At 39.4% G+C, this 22,460-nt stretch overlaps 1 protein-coding gene across 13 annotated transcripts in view; it reads left to right on the plus strand.

Moving 5' to 3' along the window:
* Positions 1-22,460, plus strand: part of C8orf34 (chromosome 8 open reading frame 34) — a 488,651-nt gene that overhangs the window by 140,177 nt on the left and 326,014 nt on the right. For all 13 annotated transcript variants that reach the window (NR_146186.1, NR_146187.1, XM_047421328.1 and 10 more), the window contains one exon: positions 17,474-17,502. Coding sequence is in view for 11 of the 13 variants with exons in the window: in XM_047421328.1 (XP_047277284.1) it covers positions 17,474-17,502 (29 nt within the window). In the remaining 2 variants the exon portion in view is untranslated. The remainder of the gene's footprint in view (positions 1-17,473; positions 17,503-22,460) is intronic.

The raw sequence follows: 22,460 nt of genomic DNA on the forward strand, positions 1-22,460 counted from the left end.
GCTGTGGCCTTCCAGGTTGTCTTACCCTGTTTGGGCTGCTATAGCAAAATACTGTAGCCTGAGTGACTTATTAACAACAGAAATTTGTTTCTTATAATTCTGGAGGGTGGATGGTCTAAAATCCAGGTGCTGACACCTTTGGTATCTGATGAGGACCTGTTTCTTGGTTCCACAGATTGTATATCCTAGCTGTGTCCTCACATGGTGGAAGGGGCAAGGGAGCTCTCAGAGGCCTCTTTTATAAGGGCAGTAATCCCAATCATGAGAAAGGAGCCCACATGTCCTAATTACCTCCCAGGCTCCACCTCCTAACACCATCACATTGCGGATTAGAGTTTAGCTTATGAGTTTTGGGAGGACACCAACATTCAGATCATAACACAGGTGGAGCCTCACAACTGAGTCCAATGATCAGAAGCTAATGGGGGCCATGTTTAATACTTGCAGGCCAGCCTAGTAAAACAATAAAGACAGACCTTGGTCATCAGAGTAGAAGAGATACAGGTATAGGACATTACTCTTGGGATAAAATAAGGGCCAGAAAAGCTATATGTGACTCCATAGTGAGGCCAGAATGAAGTGTCATAGTCAACTCCTATAGATATAGTAGAAGGTTGTTTTTGGCTTCACTTAATGGTTTTAAGGGACTCTACTGTTTTAGGGTATTCTGGTGGGATTTATGTGAGTTAAGAGGATGGTTGGTTACATAGGGAAGAATTGCTCTTTGACTATTTTTCTGAGCAAAATTATACTTTCTTGGAATGACTTGAGTTTCTATGATTTTCTGAATCTGAGCTTTATTATTGAATTGTCTTAGGCACAACATGTTTACTACCAAGTTATCAACATGCCTGCCCTGGTCAGTACACATGAATACAAATGCAGCTTTACTGTTTGCTGATGATTGTTTATCAGTCTAGTTGCCCAGAGTTTAGCTATGTAATGGCATTCCTACTTCCTCCAACTGGAACCAGGATGTAATTCATTTTTATTTGACTCTTATAATAGTTTCAGCTTGTTAACTCTTTTTCTATGATAGTAACTTTATTACCCATTGTTTTAATTACTAGGAAGACATAGGGGATGGGATTTTCCTCCAGGTACCTTCATAAGGAATATTCCATGTTTTGACACTGTGGACCTTTCTTTCCAGTGGCATAATCATTGATGCAAAAGGCTGAAAGTTTTTAGTGATCTAATTTTAATGTAGTCACTGATGAGAATTCACTTTATCTTGGTTGTACGGTCTAAAAAAATCCTACATGTTTTAGAAGTATTATTTTTTTAGTTGAGATTGACAGCAAATAATCATTTATATCTCTCAAAATGATAGTTATTTCAGCTTATCTACTGCCAGCTTTTAGAGACTTAAATGAACACACACACACACACACACACACACACACACACACACAACTCAAATAATACCAGGAAAGACTAGATAGTCTCTTCAGTTTGCAAACATGATTTCTGTTTCAGTAACAACTGTACCATGCTCTTTTTCTGGCTTTTTTTCAAACCTTTCAATGTAACATTTTATCTTAAAGTCAATCATAAACTGTGGCAATCTGCATGATATTGCTCTCTTGGAAAGGCAGACGTGTTAGAATGATTCCAACAGTGGCTTGTATTGCCACATAGTCATGACGAAGTAGGCATAGTGGGTTTTTGGTGCCTTGAGCCCTCACTTTGTAGCATTTCTATACTTTCCTCAAACATTACTTTTTTCTTCCCAGGAGCCTGGGCTCTTACCCATTCCTTCAAGTGTTTGCCCCCATCTCAATAGTCATTTACTGCTTCTTCTTTGAGGCCATGATGGAGTAGCTGTCTGATTCTTTACCTTCCTTTAAAGGGCACACCTGATTAGGTCAGAGCCATATAGAGTAATCCCCATTCTGATTTACTCAAAGTCTCCTGGTTAGTATTCTATTTGAGGGTGTGAAAACCCTTCATGCTCAGGAGGCCCACTCACACTCAAAGAGGAAAAGATGCAACAAAAGTGAATCCTGAAGGCCATCTTAGAATTCTGCCTGCCATAGATATTATTATTGCTAGTACTACTTATTCACTTATAGCATGCTTCAGCTAAGCATTTTCCAGTAGAAAAGTAATGTTTGCCAGGTATACGTTTTGTATTTTCAAACAGGCACATTTAAAAAAGGCAAAAGGAAACGTGAAAACAATTGGAATAAAATGTTGTATTTAACCCAATATATCCAATTATTATGTTTCATTGTATTCCATATAAAAAATTTTCGAGATATTTTATATTCTTTTTCTCTCATTCTAAGTCTTCAAACTCTAGTGTAAATTTTAATTCACAGCACCTCTCGTTTTGGAACTAGCCACATTTCAACTGGTCAGTAGCCACAGGACAAGTGGCTACCATACTGGACATCACTGCTCTAACTAATGTTAACAAAAAAACCCCCACAAAATCTCTTCCCTTGAGATTAACTCCAGACATCATTGGTTTTCCTTCTTCCTCCTTCATACAATGTTTGAAAGAGTAGTTGTGAAGCGGCATCGTTGTCTGGGGTAAATACCCGAGGTTCATTGTCTTACACCAAGGGCACTGAGGGCACAGACACAACAAGAAGTGGGTTTAGGAGTGGAGATTTAACAGGCAAAAGAAAGAAAAAGGAGAACAGTTCTCTCTCTTGTAAGAGAGAGGGGTGCCCAAATGGGACTTCTGGCCCACTGCCGAGTGCATCAGATTTTATAGACAGGCTTGAGGAGGTGGTATCTGACTTACATAGGGCCCAAAGACTGGTTGGACCAGGTGTGATGTTTACATAACATACCAGGAAGCTGGCTGCCCCACCCTAATCTTATTATGCAGATAGGCTTTCCACTTGGCAGGTGCCATGTTGTCTGCTCCCTACCGCACACGTGGTTTGAAAGGAAAAGGGAAGACAGAGCCACCATTTTGAACATCCCTAGTCCCAGATAGCCTTTTCCTATTGCCACAACTGCCAGCATTCAGCCATGCAAGCTTCCAGGTTGCTTGTCTATGTCTGCAACTCGATTTTACAGTCTGCTCTTTGCTAGAAAAGAAAATGATTTGGGGGCTGCTTTTCATTAAAAGGAAAACCTTACTGAGGGCTTCCTTACCCTCACTACCTGCCTAAATAATTTCTTTTTAACTCATATGTCAGTTAGTGCTCACTGTCTCTACTTGCTCATCTTCTTTCTACTCCTCAAACTAATTATAAAATCGCACCTATACTTCTGAAACTTATCTCACACTGGTCACCAGGTGATTTCCAAATTGCCAAATGGAATGAGCAGTTTTCCAGTCTTCATGTTACAAAATTTCTCTGGTAGTTGTAACCCTGTTGATTACGCTGTCATTCTTCTGACTCCCTGCTCACCTCCTTTCTGGGTGCTGGCCCTCCATCCTCTTTGGATGCCCTTTGCATCACTTCCTGTAGGCCTCATTCAGGAGTTTATCTTTCTTCCTTGCCACTCTTAATGCTGTTCCTATGGTTCGTGATTGATCCTTTGCCTTTGTTCTTTCAAGTGCTCTCTCCATTCAACCTCATTCACCCTCCTCATTTATCACCCCTACGCAGCTAACTCAAATGAGTGTATTTCCATCCACACCTTTTATGTGTTTTTACAACATGCCCAAAGCGTATCTCCACTTGGCTATCCCAATGCCATGTTAAACTCAATGTATCTAAGTGGACCACACCTCCCTCTTCAAATGTGACCTTTCGGCTGCATGCTGTGTGTTAGGTGGTGGTACCATAACTTACCTATCCTTCCAAACTGGAACCCTTCTAGATTCCTCTTTCTTCCTTATTGTTCATAACTGATTAGTTATCAAATCTTGCTAATTTTTCCTCTAAGATATGTTTTGAGTCTAGTTTATATCTTCACTCCTATCAATATCTTCTAGTTCACTCTCTCAACATCTCTGACCAGATTATTGGTTTATCCATTTAAGATATTTCATTCCTGCCCTGTGTTAGAAAAAAAAAGAGGACAGCCTCTGCCCTTATTGAGCTTATGGCTGTCTGGACTGTCATAAATTTATGTTTAGGAGAGTTTCATGGCCAAAATCTCTGTGGCTTGATACAACGTCAATATATTCTCACTCAGCGAATAGTTTCATGTGATGTTCTGGGAATGCAGACGCTTTCCATCCTGTCATTCTACCATCTTCAACACTGACTTTTAAGGTCACTGCGGAAGCAGAAAGAGCCTGTAAAAGATCATGGGGCAGGTTTCTAATGCAAATCATGGAAGTGACATACATTATCTTTCTATATTCTACAGCTAACTACAAGGGAGCTGGAAAAAGTAGGCTAGCTTGGTGCCCAGGAGAAGCAAGGAACACACACTATTGATTCGCTTCTCCATTCTGCCAATCAGCCTTCACTATAAGTGTAGTGGCTCTAAAGTGAAAGCCTGACATTCACTTGTTTCGGGTATTCAGTGCCTCCATAGAACTTCAGAGAAAGTGCTCCAGGATCTGGCCGTTTATTGGGTCTCCAGTACCATTGCTTATGACTTTCTTTATGCACCGCACTCCCTCGAGGTTCCCCCTTTCCATGCTTTTGCTTATGTTGTCCTCATGCCCTGAAGTCTCACCATCAGCTCCTTCCACTGCTTCCCTCTTCAGCAAGCCATATTTACTTTTCTCTTCAGCTTCAGCTCAAATACCATTTCCTCCAAGATTATTTCTCTGTTGCTGTCCTCTTCTGGGGTAGATTTGCATCCCCTCTCTTTGTGCTTCTATACTTTTCTCTGAACACACTTATATGCTATGATCTGTTTTTATTTATCTCCTCTGGACCTTGAGTTTCCTGAGGGCAGAGCCACTTTGCTCTTGCACTCCCTAGGACTTGGCACAAAGATTAGCACATAACTTGGTTATGGTTTGCTTGAAGAGGGCTACCTCTGGTTCCATTTCATCCTGATCCCTCTTTTCTGAGACCTCCCCCTAGTCAGGCTTTCTTCACTTAAACAAGCCTTCTGCTTTTTAAAATGTGAGCCTTTGGGATAAGATGACATGGGTTTGGCTGTTAGTAGATTTGACTTGTTTGCTGGGATCTTTGGCTTTGACTGTGATGCTTAAAAATAAATAGATAGCTAAGTAAGCACGTAAACAAATAAATAAACATCCTAAAAGCTAAAGACCAGCAGTTTTTTATTTCATGCAATTGGCCAACAAAACCTTCTACTTCGTGAGGCACTATTCCCAGGGTGGCAGGGTTTCCAGTGTTCTCTGGGTCTAATGCTTTTGCTGCTTCTGACAGCTCCCTGTGATGTGAGGTAGTGGTGGGATGAGTATCTTTAGGCCATCCAGACATTGGTCCATGGATTTCAGTTCATATGAAAACACTGGCTGGAGCCTTTCCAAGGAAAAGAGAGCCCAGCTGCTGGGGGAACAGAGGACAGATATTTATGCTCTGTGACTGCTAATAGCAACCTGCACTCAGCCAAGAGAAAAAAATAGCAAAGGACTTTTTTAGTGAGTCAGTCAGGAATGTACCCAAGAAGTCTTTTCTGACAAACAGACTAAGGAGTGATAGAATAACTATGCATGAGAGAAAATAGAGATGGATAATGTGGCAATTACTTGTTCATTCATTCCCACATTCATTGAATGTATGCAGGAATGCAAAGATGACTAACACGTGGAACTAGACTTCAAGCTTACATTTTAGTAGTGGAGACAGGTTTGGAAATCATAGTTTCAAAGTCTTGTACAAAGTACTTTAAAAGAGCTGAGGAGTCATAGAAGAATCTCCAAAGGGGTTTAGGGACAACTTGATAGAAAAGTTATCCAAATCAAATTTGGAAGTATCCAAAGGTCAAGGTACAGTAGGAGGAGAGTCAAGATGTGTCGTGGAGACAGATATTCCTGGAAGAGAGAAGCATGTGTGTAAGGATGTATTTCAAAGAAAGAGGAAGTTTTATCATTGAAAAGGCCAAAAGGATGACTAAATAGTAAAAAGGATAGTTTTATTGCTGATACCAGTTTGCAAACCAGTAAGAGATAGTCTGGTATGAACTAAAAGTGCTCTTTTTGAAGAGGGAAAGGGCGAGTTGGGTTTTATGCCCTACAGGGTCTGTATTACAAAGATGTCATACATATTCAGTAGATTTGGGGGAAAACCATACATATTTATGTGGGCAGTTGAGTACATGCACAATGGGCAAAGATATATGTAACATATATCCTATGTTCACTTTGGGGTGTGGTTTTAGCATTAAAATGAAGTGGAATATCACTATGTCAAAAGGTGAATCATAGGATATAAAGACAGTTTATTCACAATCTCTATAAGTTGGCTGAAACTGGCTTAAAGTCTGCAGTTGCTTATCACAAAAGAATGTTTGTAAGGCTGGTCCTGTTACTTTAGTGGTCTGGGTTGTAATTCAGAGTTAGGGAGGGAGTATGATAATTTTCCTGATAGCCCTTATTCCTAGAGAGTTTAGCAAGTGTATGGATTTTCTTGTAGCCATAGGAATTTAGGAAGTTGCCATGTCAGCTGGGCCTTGAAATCTCAACTCCTAGGTAACCTTTGTTTCCTTAACCTTAAGGTCCATCCTAGTTGATAAAGGGGTGTCTATTTTGATCTCTCAGATCACATGTCATATTATTGGTGCATGAAGGGTGAAGCAAATAATAAAGGGAATGAAGCTAGAAGTCTGGGTTACAGAGAAGTCAGGAATCAGGGGTAGGGACTTCTATGCTACAGGAATCTTGTCAGTAGATTATGATCCTAAGCAAGTTTGCATTTTTATTTTACCAATCACTCTTGGAGGCAACATGGGGACAGAGTTGACATGGCCCATGCCTGGAGGCAAGGACAGAAATGAATAGAGCCTGAAACAAAGCAGAGACTCCTCATGGAGAACCTCTGCGAGGGCAGTGCAAAAGGGAAATGTAGGGTTGGAGCCTCCACACACAGTTCCCACTGGAGCACTGCCTAGTGGCATTATGAGAAGAAGGCCACCATCATTCAGATCCCAGAATGGTAGATCTACTGACAGCTTGAACTGTGCTCCTGGAAAAGCCACAGACACTCAATGCCAGCCATGAAGGAGGGATACCTGAGGCTGTGGGAGCCAACCCTGCATTTCCCCTTTGCACTGCCCTAGCATAGGCTCTCCATGAGGGCTCCACCCGTGTAGCAGACTTCTGCCTGGACATTCAGGCATTTCCATACATCCTCTGAAATCTAGGTGGAGTTTCCCAAACTTCAATTCTTGACTTATGTGCACCCACAGGCCCAACACCACATGGAAGCCACCAAGACTTGGGGCTTGCACCCTCTGAAGCAACAGCCTTTGGTCCCTTATAGCCACCACTGGAGCTGAAACGGCTGGGACGCAGGATGCCATGTCCTGAGGCTGCACAGAGCAGCAGGGACCATGAGCCTGGCCCAGGAAACCATTTTTCCTCCTAGGTCTCTGGACCTTTGATGGGAGGGGCTGCCATGAATACCTCTGACATGCCCTGGAGACATTTTCCCCATTGTCTTGGTGAATAGCATTCAGCTCCTTGTTACTTATGCAAATGTCTGCAGCTGGTTTGAATTTCTTCCCAGAAAATGGGTTTTTCTTTTCTACCACATAGTCAGCCTGCAAAATTTTCAAGTTTTTATGCTCTGCTTCCCTTTTAAACATAAGTTTCAATTTCAGATAATCTCTCTCAAGTTCAAAGATCCACAGATCTGCCCTAGAGATGCCATCAGTCTCTTTACTAAAGCATAGCAAGAGTGACCTTTGCTCCAGTTCCCAGTTGCTCAAGTTTCTCATCTCCATCTGAGACCACGTCAGCCTGGGCTTCATTGTCCATATCACTATCATCATTTTAGTCAAAGCTATTCAACAAGTCTCTAGGAATTTCCAAACTTTCCCACATCTTCCTATCTTCTTCTGAGCCCTCCAAACTGTTCCAACCTCTGCCTGTTACCCAGTTTCAAAGTCATTTCCACATTTTCAAGTATCTTTATAGCAGTGCCCCAAACTCCCAGTATCAATTTGCTGTTAGTCTGTTTTCACACTGCTATAAAGAAATGCCTGAGACTGGGTAATTTATAAAGGAAAGTGGTTTAATTGATTCACAGTCCTACATGGCTGAAGAGGCCTCAGGAAACTTACAATTATGGCAGAAGGAGAAGCAGGCACCTTCTTCACAAGATGGCAGGAGAGAGAATGAAAGTGAAGGGGGATGAGCCTCTTATAAAACCATCAGATCTTGTGAGAACTCACTATCATGAGAACAGCATGTGGAACACTGCCCCCATGATCCAATCACCTCCCTTTGCCAACGTATAAGGATTACAGGTTTCTCCCTCAACAAGTGGAAATTACAATTTGAGATGAGATTTGGTTGGGGACACAGAGCCAAACCATATCATATGCATACAATATTATTTGAAAGAACACTGAATAAGTTATTGTCATTAGTTGTCTGTGACTGGGGGCTTATTTTATTTTTCCCTATTTTTTAATGCTAAACATGTCTTCATTTGATAAAATGAAATATAAAGGGTGTATATTTGCAATAGAAGAGAAAAGATGCAATTTGACTTGATAATCAGGATGTGTATAGTTACTTTATAAAGAATAATTTTAAGAATAATTAAAGAATAATTTTTAGAGACTACTGGAAGCAGAAGCTGGTATGCAGTGGACGGAAGAAGGAATGGACAGCAGTGAAGAGAGATGAGGAGTAGAGAAAGGAGGAGTACGTCCTGCAAAAAGTTATGATGGAAGAGAAGATGTGAAAAGGGGCAGCAATTAGTGGGGAAATTTGGAATTTTTTCATCATTTTGGTCTGATTTCCTTTAGTTTCTTCTGTGCATGTATCAGAGAGACACAGAGAAACAGTGAGAGAGAGAGAGAGAGAGAGAGAGAGAGAAAGCAACAGAGAGAGAGAATATGTGTCTGTGTGTACAATTAATGGTTTTTAGGGTATTAGTGGAAACCAAGATAAAGAACTTGCAGATTCAGGAGAGGGAGAGAAGATAATAGTTGGAGTAAATACCAGAGATGGAGGTTGGGGATGGAGCCAAAAAAACAAATGGATATAAGTGCACTTTGTCCTCTGAGACTGAAGAGAACAGCATCCATGGCTTTTTGAGGGGGATGAAGGGTCAGGAAGTCCAGGAAGTTCAAATCTTATAGTTTTCAAGTTTTCAGGATATTAAACTTTGAGGTCCTATACAGTAAGAAGGAGGAAGAGATGGGTAGAGGGGCCTGATGAAAACCAACACCATTTGAAACTATTCTTGGAGAAATGAATGCGCTGGTTAATCAAGGATGAAAATTGGTATGTGCTTCTAGAGCAGGGCTCAGCAAACTCTCGCCCATGGGCCAAATCTAACCTGTGGCTTGTTTTTGTGGCTCATGTTCTAAGCATGATTTTTACATTTTAAAAGAGTTATTTATAAAGCAAGAACAAGAATGTGTGAGTATGATATGATCTATATCTAGAATATTTACTATTTAGCCCGTAACAGAAAATGTTTTCAACTTTTGTTCTAGGATAACCAATTAATATGGTTTGGCTATATCCTCACCAAAATCTCAACTTGAATTGTATCTCCCAGAATTCCCACATGTTGTGGGAGGGACCCAGGGGGAGGTAATGGAATCACAGGGGCCAGCTTTTCCTGTGCTATTCTCATGCTAGTGAATAAGTCTCACAAGATCTGATGGGTTTATCAGGGGGTTCTGCTTTTGGTTCTTCCTCATTTTCTCTTGCCTCTGCCATATAAGAAATGTCTTTCACCTCCTGCCATGGTTCTGAGGCCTCTCCAGCCATGTGGAGATGTAAGTCCAATTAAACCTCTTTTTGTTCCCAGTTTTGGGTATGTCTTTATCAGCAGTGTGAAAACTAATACAGTAAATTGTTACTGAGAGTGGGGTGTTGCCAAAAAGATACCTCAAAATGTTGAAGCAACTTTGGAACTGGGTAACACGTAGAGGTTGGAACAATTTGGAGGCCTCAGAAGAAGACAGGAAAATGTGTGAAAGTTTGAAACTTCCTAGAAACTTGTTGAATGGCTTTGACAAAAATACCGATAGTGATATGAACAATAAGGTCCAGACCGAGGTGATCTCAGATGGAGATGAGGAACTTGTTGGGAACTGGAGCAGAGGTGACTCTTGTTATATTTTAGCAAAGAGACTGGCAGCATTTTATCCCTGCCCTAGAGATTTGTGGAACTTTGAACTTGAGAAAGATGATTTAGTGTATCTGGCAGAAGAAATTTCTAAGCAGCAAAGCATTCAAGAGGTGACTTGGGTACTGTTAAAGGCATTCTGTTTTTTATAAGGGGAGTAGAGCATAAAAGTTTGGAAAATTTGCAGCCTGACTTTGCAATAGAAAAGAAAAACCCATTTTCTGGGGAGACATTCAAGCTGGCTGTAGAAATTTGCATAAGTAGCCAGGAACCTAATGTTAATCCCCAAGACCATGGGCAAAATGTCTCCAGGCTATGTCAGAGACTTTCATGACAGCCCCTCCCATCACAGGCCTAGAGGCCCAGGAGGAAAATGTAATTTCATGGGCCAGGTCCAGGGTTCCCATATTGTGTGCACGGGGTGCCCTGTGTCCCAGCCATAGCTGAAAGGGGCCAATGTACAATGTGGGCTGTGGCTTCAGAGGGTATAAGCCCCAAGCCTTGGCAGCTTTCATGTGGTGTTGAGCCTGCACGTGCACAGAAGTCAAGAACTGAGGTTTGGGAACCTCTGCCTAGATTTTAGAGGATGCATGGAAATGCCTGGATGCCCAGGCAAAGATTGCTTCCATGGCGGGGCCCTCATGGATAACTCTACTAGGGCAGTGTGGAAGGGAAATGTGGGGTCAGAGCCCCCACACTGAGTCCCTACTGGGGCACCACCTAGTGGAGCTGTGAGAAGAGGACCACCATCCTCCAGACCCCAGAATGGTAGATCCACCAACAGCTTGCACTGTGTGCCTGGAAAAGCCACAGACACTCAAAGCCAGCCCATGGCAGCAGCCAGGAGAGAGGCATACCCTACAAAGCCACAGGGGCGGGGCTGCCTAAGACTGTGTGCACCCACCTCTTACATCAGCGTGAACTGGATATGAGACCTGGAGTTAAAGGAGATCATTTTGGAGCTTTAAAATTTGACTACCCTGCTGGATTTTGGACTTGCATGGACCCTGTAAGCCCTTTGTTTTGGCCAATTTCTCCCTTTTGGAATGGCTGTATTTAACCAATACCTATACCCCAATACCTGTACCCCCATTGTGTCTAGGAAGTAACTAGCTTGCTTTTGATTTTACAGGCTCATATGTAGAAGGGACTTGCCTTGTCTCAGATAAGACTCTGGACTGTGGACTTTTGGGTTAATGCTGAAATGAGTTAAGATTTTGGGGGACTGTTGGGAAGGCATGATTTGTTTTGAAATGTGAGGACATGAGATTTGGAGGGGCCAGGGAAGGATTGATATGGATTGGCTGTGTCCTCACCCACATCTCAACTTGAATTGTATCTTCCAGAATTCCCACGTGTTGTGGGAGGAACCCAGGGGGAGGTAATTGAATCATGGGGACCAGATTATCCTGTGCTATTCTCATGCTAGTGAATAAGTCTCATGAGATCTAATAGGTTTATCAGGAGTTTCTGTTTTTGCTTCTTTCTCATTTCCTCTTGCCTCTGCCTTCTAAGAATTGCCTTTTGTCTCCCACCATGATTCTGGGGCCTCCCCACGTGTGTGGAACTGTAAGTCCAATTAAACCTCTTTTTGTTCCCAGTTTCAGGTATGTCTTTATCAGCCATGTGAAAACAAACTAATACACCAGTTGAGGATTGAATTCCTCAACTTCTAGCAGGAATGCTCTTTGCTCTAAAAGCAATTAGCAGTCTATATAAAGGGTGTTTTTTAAAATTTATTTTAAAATATAAGTAGAGACAAGGTCTCACTATGTTGCCCAGGCTGGTCTCGAACTCCTGAGTTCAAGTGATCCTCCCACCTCGGCTTCCCAAAGTGTTAAGATTACAGGTATGAGCCACTGTGCCCAGTCTAAAGGGTGTTTTAGTTGACTAATTGTCAGAGGTTGTTGATCACCCATTTATTGATAAAAGTTTTACTTACACAGGTATTTTCTTTAACATTACTCTTTATACTCAGTGGCATGCCAGTAAGCTAACTCTGAAAATAAGCCCTGATTTTCAGCATTTGTCAATTTCCATGATGTAAATATTCCCACTATGGCTAATTTCAAGCTACCTATGTGACATCACTGAATGAGGTGTTGGGAAGGAATGTGGGGAGTTGGTTTTCAGAAGCCAGTATGGGCCAGCTCTAGCATAAAACTAATATTTCCAAGTTATATGCTCTATTTTTGTATTGAATTTTATTTCACAGTTGAAAAAAGGCTTAAAACAAGAAAGAATTGGGGAGTCTAATTTTCTACATTATAATACAATTGGCATTTTTTTCCAGTAGGGAAGTAGATTTTGGAGAAATAGTACTATTTTATACTATATGAATCGAACCTACTTTTGTGAAATGAATTACACTAAGGTATAGAGAATTTTGAAAAGTTGCTACTTCCGTTTCCTATAACTACAACCTAATTCTAACTCTGTGGCTGAGCAGATGCCTGGAAAGATGGAAGTCTTGAAGAAACCTATTGCTCTTATTTCGCTTATAGGAGGCAACTCAAATATGAGAATATGAGAACTGTGTTTTGAAATAAGTTTCTGATACTAATGTGTTTTGTGCTGTGCTGGTTTATGCAAATGTACCCCCAAAAGTCTGAGGAAGCTGAAAGGCTGAAGAAAGAGGCTGCAAGTTGAATTTAGAAAGAAACATTTAATAGGGACTAATGATCAGAAGCCGTGTGTGCCTGGGGAGGTTGCAAGACAAGGTGACTCCCTGCACCGTTATCTTCCAGACCCAGGGCTTATATATCATAGGGAAAGGGCATACGTGATTTAGAAGGGATATGTAGGACAACTGAAGTACGATAGCATCAAGGTTGTTTTGACCTAATGGCAGGATTTATGGTAAGTACCTGCTCTTAAACAAGGAATAATAGATAAATGGGAAATCTTAGAGGCATTCCCAGAACTGGGTTGATCAGAAGTCAACATGGCAGATTAGCATCAAAGATGGAGTTGCTTTAGCCTGCGCACAGTGAGACCTCTTTGGAGTTGAGAATAAATGGAAAGGCCTATAAATTAAATGACACAGATGGAGGCCATCTAGATAGGTTTGCTCCACAGTGAATCAGAAAGTTTTACCTGATTCATGTCTACCTCTGACATGCCTGTGGGAGCCACTGCTTCTTTATCCAGAAGAGAAGCTCAGTTTCTGAAAGAACTAATTTTTCCCTTCACTTCCAGGCAGCTCACTCCTACAGCTAGACATTATTGCTACCCTAAGCAATGGTTACTTTGTGTATTAGGCCATTCTTGCATTGCTGTGAAGAAATACCTGAGTCTGAGTAATTTATAAGAAAGGGGGTTTAATTGGCTTATGGTTTTGCAGGCTGTACAGGAAGCATAAAACCAGCATCTGCCTTTGGGGAGGCCTCTGGAGGCTTACAATCATGGCACAAGGCCAAGCAGGAACTAGCAGTCAAATGGCGAAAGCAAAAGCAAGAGCAAGGTTGGGGAAGGTGCTACACATTTTCTATACATTTTCAAAGGACCACATCATTTGAGAACTCACTCACTATCATGAGAGCGGCAACAAAGACATGGTACTGGACCATTCATGAGAAATCCACCCCCATGATCCAGTCACCTCCCACCAGCCCTCACCTCTAACATTGGGGATTACAATTCAACATGAGATTTGGGCAGGACACAAATCCAAACTATATCACCCTGATAGGATATTTCCTTTAAGCTCTAGTTTGACTTTTACAAGGACCATGTGTTCCAGTGCTCATTAAGAGTCCTACCCTCAAGTCCTGGGCTTTTCTTTCTTCCAACATATCTTCGCAACCCACTTCATTTTCTCTTGCATATTTTCTGTTTTCTGAAGATCCCCAGTCTTCATTAACTTAAAAAAGAGTCTCAATTTAAAATATGATACCTTTTAAAAGTTAATAAAATGCCTAAAAGTTGTTAATCTCTTCTCAGGGAATAGCTGTGGATATTCTGCTAGACACTGGGAGAGATATCCTGGCCACTCAGTATAAATGGTTCCCATTAGAGCTTCATGCCTCTGTGAAGCGTTTCATTAAAATTCTTTCATCTGCTTTTAATCTGTATAAGCTTTGATTAAAAATGAAATAAGAAGTTAAAAAAAATGCCCTAGGCAATTTGACATTGATAATAGAAAGCTGAAAGAATTACAGATAATAGAGTGGAGATTTATTTGGATAATTTCTCAGGCAAAGTCATCAAAATATGTAAATTTTAAGAAAATATGATAATAAGTATTTGAACAAAATATGGTCAGACCAAAGAGTTGGCATAATTAAAGGCATAATTCTTTCTCCAAACCAAGTTTTCCATTTAGCTAGTTTGAGTTGTATTCTGGGGTCCATTACTTCTTAGTACTGAAATACATCTTCAAAGCAATGTTTCTCTTCATCTCCATTTTCAACTGCTAAAATTTTCCAGCCCTGAAAAACAGCTCATATGTTTGCTAAAATTGAGAGGAGGTAGCCCATGAGTAATGTGCCAGTTCTGTGTGACACACATTTTGACTATTCACAGGGCTTTTTTACTTACTTGCCAGTTCTTGCTTCTTTCTGGAACAGTGATATATTGCCACTATCTTTATGAATAATGGATTCATAAATATGAGGCCTAAAAGAAACTTAAAGATCAACTGGTAGCTTTCTAAAAGTTAAATGAGAAAACTCGTTTTGTAAGCCCGAGAGCATGATGCAGGAAGTTAAAAAAAAAATTAAGAGATCGGGCCAGGTGCAGTGACTCACCGCTATAATCCCAGCACTTTGGGAGGCCCAGGCAGGCGGATCACGAGGTCAGGAGTTTGAGACCAGCCTGGTCAACATGGTGAAACCCCGTCTCTACTAAAAATACAAAAATTAGCTGGGCATGGTGGCGGGTGCCTGTAATCCCAGCTACTCATGAGGCTGAGGCAGGAGAATCGTTTGAACCCAGGAGGTGGGGGTTGCAGTGAGCCGAGATCCAGCCATTGTACTCCAGCCTAGGAGACAAGGCAAGACTCTGTCTCAAAAAAAAATAAAAAATAAATAAATAAATAAATAAATAAATAAAAATAAATCAAGAGGTTAAGAGAGTTTAAAAAATCCCAAATAATTGAATTATGGATTATTTAATTTCAGATATCTAAGCTTTATGACTTTGGGTGAGAAACAGAATTCTGTTTCATATTATCTATGCTCTCTTAAAATAGACTAAGCTCTTTAAAATTTTATATTTAAGATATTCAGTCTTAATCTTGAATTCATATTGGAAAGGAACTTTTTTTGTAGAATTATATTACATGTAAATATAAGCATTTAAAAGACATGTTTGGATTTTTATAAATTGTAATAATGTATTTTAAATCTATAGAATGTGACATAAGCCATTTAGTATCCCATAAATGTCCTATCTTTTCTTAACATCTGAGTTATTCTAAATGACCATTTGTAATTCTCTATATTTTTTAAGCCCAAAAATTCCACAAATGTATGATTTATGTTAGGTCTTCACAAATGTTTATAATTGCACTCTGAGATCTCTTAGTCTCACATCTTCCCCTTGACTGTGGTGCTGTCATATCTGAGTTCTCCATCACGGTTCACTCAGCAGTGATACAGCCCAGCTCCAATGCCAGCCCTCCTTAAAGCTTTTTCTCCTTTAACTGTTTGAAGGCACTACCTTCATAATACAGCAAGTCCTTGAATAATTGTTAAGCTTTGGTCACCCCAAATCCCTGAAATGGTAGTTAGACTCTCTTTTGATGTGACACATAAAAATTCTTAGTTACCAATGACTTCTACCAAAAAAAGAATTTTATAAAATATTGAAGAATAAGCCCCAAATGTACCTGTGTTTCTAGTGTCATCTACAAGGGGATCTACAATGGTGTCATTTACTGAGATGAAGTTGTGCGTACTTTTTCAGCTTTGTGTATAATTGATTCATTAGGTTAGTGGTGTGGGAGATGATATAAGAACTAATGAAATATCATTTATACCCTCCACATCTATACCCGAGGCAGGCAGGGGATCTGAACCCTGTAACTCACTCTTTCTACTGAGGTTCATTGTCCTGAGGCTGCTTTCAGGTTCTTTCTTCCAACCCAGCTCATTCTTTCTTGTTCTTTGTAGTCTGCTGAACTTCAGCTTCAATTCCTATTCTTATTTTCTCCAAGTTCTCCTGGGCTTCAAACTTTAGACCTTTCCTTATCTCTTGGCTCGTTCCCTACAGGGGTTTGACACCAACCCCCCTTTGCTCTGTGCCCTGAATGTGAGAGCTGGCCACACCTGCTCCAGCGCCCTGCCACAGTGCTGAAGTTTAGCCCCATTGTTCAAAAGAATAAAACGCAGAGTGAGTTGAGGAGGATGATGTCTTTAGTCTGACAAGTTGATAATGGAATGCCCACAAGAATTCAACAATTAGCTCAGGAAGAAAGTCTGTGCTGGCAGTAAAGATGTGCCATATAGAGAAATAAAAATATCAAAGGTATGGGGTAGATTATCAAGAGAAGTATATCAAATGAGAAGAAAAGACAGCTCAACAAAGAGCCCTTGCCATTTCAGGAAAGGACCCCTATCCCTGCAAAAAAGGGAATTCCTGTGAAGGAGACAAAGGAGAACAGAAAAGAGAGGACAGCATTTCAGTAAAGTGGAATTGATAGTGTATCATCACAGAGAAATAAGTTAAGGACTAAACTTTTTACATTGCTGACTTAGAATAATTTTGGAGAAAGGATAAAGATAGAAATTATACTGATGTGCAGTGAGAAATATGTGGATGGTGGGGGAAGGAACTTGTGATGAAGAATCATTTACGCATTGGCTCGAGGAGCTGTCAATCTGAGGGACTGTGGGAAAATTCCTTAAACTTTCTCATCTATTTCCTCATCCACAAACTAAAGACATTAGAATAAGTCATCTTGGACCACCATTCTGCCTTAATATCTAATTATTCTGGGAATCTAAATTCTTAACAAGGAGCAAAATAGTAACAGGCTAAATTATACTTTATTGTCATCATAACATAAAAATGATATCTCTACAATTACATTCGCAAGTTTGTTCTGCCTTTAACCACCTGCAAGGAATATGGCGCTGCTTTGTTTTTGTTGCATCATTTGCATTGCTTCAGCAGTTCATGGCTGTCATAATTGACTTAAATTCCTAATTTGTTTTCATTGGTAAAAGGATGTGCCACATTATTTTGAAGCACTAATAAAAAGAAAACAAATAGAATAGGAAATGCACTACTTTTACAAATAGAAAGTTTGTTTTGAACATTAGGTTACTAAAGATTGCTTCTAAAACTTTTTTTTATAAATCTCTTTTAAATCCCAGGTATTGCAATTTCAGATGAACTCGATAAGGTAAGTTGAACTATACATCTGGTGAAAAGAAAATGTAGAACTTACCTTTTATTCCACTGTCTCAACATAAATAAATTTTCTGAAACATAAAATGTTCAAGTATAATTTATTTGGGCTAACATTTTAAAACTTTGAAAGTTAAATGCATATTGTTTTATGAAAGCTATTCCATTAAATATATATATCACCTACTCTTTTGAGTCAAGGCCTTTAGAATTTGGTTAGAGAAAATGGAATCACTGTAATCACTGAATCACTATATTGCAAAATAACTTCATAACACTATATTATGTAAATTATTTTATTCCACTTGTATCTAAATGATAATGATATGGAAAACATTGTATTTTTTGATAGCTCCTCTTTGGAAACCTTACCAATAAAGCTTTTTGTTTGTTTATTTTAATTTTCCGAGATGCCAAGAGACTATGATGGTACTTTGAAGTGGGGTAGTAGTTATGATGGTGGTGAGAAGTGGTGTGGTTAGAAATATATTTCTATAGTTGTGTCACTGGAACTTGCTAATGGATTGGATGTGGGGAATTGCAGAACAAATCAGTCAATGATGGATTGCTAGGTTTGGGAGATGAGCAACTAGGTCAATTGTGGTACTGCTTACTAAAATTAGAAAAACTAGGAAAAAATCAAATTTGTCAGGTTTGGATAACATTAAGAGTTCTCATTTAGATTGTTTATTTTGAATTGCCTATTAAACATGTTTATATGAGTTGTTGCTTATGAGAGAGATTTGATTTATAACTAAACATATTCTCATTTTTCTAGTCTCAAAAGCCCTTTACATTGTTAAAAATTGGAGAGGACCCCAAAGAGTCTTGATTTATAAAGATTATATCTATCAATATTAGATTCTTGTGTTGATAATATATTGATATTAGATATCTAAACGTTAAAAATTTAAACTGATAACGAATTTACGTTTTTTTTTAAAATAGCAGTGATTAAACCATTACCTTAACACAAATAACAGTTTTAGGAAAAATACTTTTATTTTCTAAAACAAGATGTTAGTAAGAAATTTGCATTGTTTACATTTTGAAAATCTCTTTAATGTATGGCTTAATTGAAAACTGCTACATTTTCATATCTGCTTCTGCATTCAATCTGTTGTGATATGTTGTTTTGGCTGAAAAATCTCTAACATCAGATGTGTAGCTGGAAAGAGAGAAGCACATAGAAATAGCCATCATCAATATTTGGTGAATACTGCTCTAGATATCTTTTGAGACAGAAAATATATTGAAATTTGGCTTGGGGGCTAGATAGATACATAAAAAATGATAGAAAGTATTGTACAGGTTGCATACACCTCATCCAAAATACTTGGGGCAAGAAATGTTTTGAATTTCAGGTGTTTTTTTGGATTTTGGAACACTCATATATACACAAAGAGATATCATGGGGCTGGGACCAAAGTCTAAAACAAAATTCATTTGTGTTTCATATACATTTTATACACATCACCTGGAGATAATTTTATGCAATATTCTTAGTAATTTTGTGCATGAAACAAAGTCTTGACTGGATTTTGACTGCGACTCATCACACGAGGTCAAGTATAAAATGTTCTATTTGTGACATCGTGTCGATGCTCAAAAAGTTTCAGATTTTGGAGCATTTCAGATTTTCAAATTAGGGATGCTCAACCTCTACAAAAAATGGTATCATATAAATCCTGACATTTTAAAACAATAAGCTACTCTGTAATAATTGTATTATTTTTACAAAAACCACAAAGCTAGTATCCTATTCCAAATATAATACAACACCTTTTGGATTTTGTACCAGAAGAATGTATTTCTGACTCACTAAAAAAATATAATTTATGAATATATTCTTAAATATCTATTTCCTTTAATAAACAAACCATCATAATATTTTAGAATTAGTTTCATTGTCATCTGTACCGACTCCAGGCAGAACTCCATGTTGACCATACTCAATGGCAAGTGCATAAGTGGTAGGCATGGCTTTCCGGCCTTGTTCTGCTTTTCTAGTCCCCCCTCTGTGTGCCTGTCATTGTCTCACCCCAGCTGGTCTCCTTCTTATGCCATGAGTTTCCTTACAGTTTGCAGAAATGTAATAATTCCTCCTCTTGCAGTTATGGTCTATGTTCATTTTAAGTACTAAGATATAACCATCACCATTTCTAGGTTCATTTGCTCTTTCTAATACATTCTGCAAAACCCTGGCTGCCTGAGCCATAAATTAGCTCGTATGCGGTTGTTACTGTGCTTGGCTCTTGTCCTTCTCTTTTTTTCTGAGCTCTGACTTGCAGCGGCTTTGGTGTCCACACCTTTGTTGATGAGCTAAAGAATTTTAACTGTTCTTGGAACTGAAACAGATATAACCCTCACAGGATAAATTATGGATGCCCTGACACCCAGTTAAGTGTCAGCCTCAGGACATGGCCTTCTCCCTCACACCCTCTCTCTTCCCGGCAGTAGCTCAGGGGAATATCCATTTAACTAAATTGTATGACACTGCTGATTTTCATTTACTTACCTAATATTCCTGTTTTTTGAAGACTTTGTGGAAACTGCTGAATTTTATTGCACATTTATTATTTTTCATTTTTATTGAGGAAGATGCCAAAAGTTGTCATAAATAACTTTTCACTTAAAAAAAATTTCAGTGAAAAAAAAAATCGACCCCACTTTTGCATCTGATTTTTGGAGTGCTAGATAACAGAAAGGAGTCACAGGCTTCCAGAGCCATTGCCACCATTCTTTGCCTGTCTGGCAGTCACCCTTGGAGGAGCAGGAGAGCCTGTCCCATAGCACCCTCTGGTGACCATGAAGCTCACAGTCCTGAATTTTCCTGAATAAGAAAAAGTGAATCTCAGGGAGGCAGCCACTGAAAAACAGCCAATCGGAATGGTTTGCAGTTAGTATTCACCTGGTACCTATGTCTTTAATGTAACAGTAAATATAGCTTCTTCCTTTTACTTTTCCCTTAACAATTTTGGGGATTCACTAAATATATGTTTTTCCCAACCTTTATAAAATATGGAATTTTTTAACCATCATTTTCTAATTCAGTTATAATTTCATTGAAATCATTTCTTCATGGCCTTTTACATTACTTTGTGAACTCTGAGAAAGGTAATAAGAATCATTAATTCTATTTAAAATAAAGAAATAAAATGAAACAGAGGTTATTATTTTTTAAGCTTTTTTTTTTTTAAGTTGTGGGAATTCCATCAATTCCTTTGTCACTAACGTTTTTCTTTCTCTTCGATGACTACTGTATTGGCTTTCGATTGCTGCTGTGACACTTTAAAGCAACACAAATTTATTATCTTACAGCTCTGTAGTTTCAAAGTTGAACATGAGTTTCCCTGAGCTAAACAAAGTCAAGGTGTAATCAGGGCTGCCTTCCTTCCATTCCAGGGGAAATCTGTTTGCTCACCTTTTCAAGCTTCTAGGGCTGCCTGTATTCCTTTAGTGCATGGCCCCCTTGTTATCCCTTTAAAACCAGCAACATCTCTTCTGTCTCTAACTTCAGCCAGGAACAACTCTCCCTATTTATGGAATTATGTTAGGTTGAGGCCACCTGGCTAATGCAGATAATCTCTTCATCTCAAGATCTTTAATCTTAATCATGCAAAGTCCTTTTGCATATTCATGCAAATGTAATTATGAAACTAATTACATATAGAAATGTAAATATTAATTCATTTGTAATGGAACATATTCACAGGTTTCGGGTATTAGGACATGAACATCTCTGGGAAGTCGTGATTCTGCCCACACTGCCACTATCCAAGTTCAAATGGTAGTACCTTTTATATCTGTATGTGGTTCTTCAAGCTCCCATGATTCCAATTCATCCTTCAAAATGCCACATAGTAGACATGATTGGTGCCTGCCCAGTTTCCCTCCAGTAGGGTGGTGTGACCTATCCTTCAGCTGCTATGAGTGTTGGGTGTTTACACGCTTCTTTCCTCATCTTCTCCTGGCTCCCTCATTCTTTTATAGGTTTCACTTGAGAGAACTCCTCAATAAATCACTTTCTCAGCATCTCATTCTAGGGAACCCTACCTAAGACATGCCACAAGAAGATTCTTCCTAAAGCAAAATCTTATTGAAATTTTTTTCTTGACTCTCTAGTATCTACCAAATTAAGCCCAAATTTCTTTTTTAGCCATTTTTCTTTTATTTATTTTATTTTTAATGGAGATGGGGTCTCGCTTTGTCACCCAGGCTGGTGTGCAGTGCTGCGATCATAGCTCACTGCAATCTCGATCTCCTGGGCTCAAATGACCCTCCCACCTCAGCCTCTTGAGTAGCTGGGACTACAAACGTGTGCCACCATGCCTGGCTAATTTTTTAATTTTTTTAGAGACAGGGTCTTACTATGTTGCTCAAGCTTGTCTCAAACTCCCGGCCTTAAGCAATCCTTCCTTCTCAGCCTCCCAAGGGATTTTGTGCATGAGCCACCATGCCAGGCTCAAGTCCAGATTTCTAAGACTAGAATTAACAGTCTCCATGTTGTGGCTGACATCTATCTCTTATGCTTGATTTCCTTCTTTTTTCCATCCAAACTGTATTGCACTCCACAAGAAATAGGGTAAAGTAGCCAGAAGACAGTACTTCTAGGTCATAGTTTTATTTATTTTCACATTTTTGTTCATGTCATTCCCTTTTCTTTCTCTGGCTGTGATCCCTCCTTTAAGTTCCAGCCTCCCTAGTCAGCCCTGCAGAAAGTGTGCTCACCCACCGAGATCCTTTAGCGAGCACAGTGACTGCATCACAAATGACAGAGTTTTTGTTCACTGCTTCAAGAAGTAGCCCAGTATTCTGAAAAAATCCACAGAAAGGCTTTGGATTGAATGTCGGCACCTGCCATTTACTAACTACATAGCCTTCAGGAGGTTACTTCCAGATGCTGAAATTTAGTTACCTTCTCTGTAAAATGTAGATGGTTTTAGTGACTAT

Source organism: Homo sapiens, chromosome 8 (assembly GCF_000001405.40).
Source record: "Homo sapiens chromosome 8, GRCh38.p14 Primary Assembly".
Classification (NCBI taxonomy): domain Eukaryota; kingdom Metazoa; phylum Chordata; class Mammalia; order Primates; family Hominidae; genus Homo; species Homo sapiens.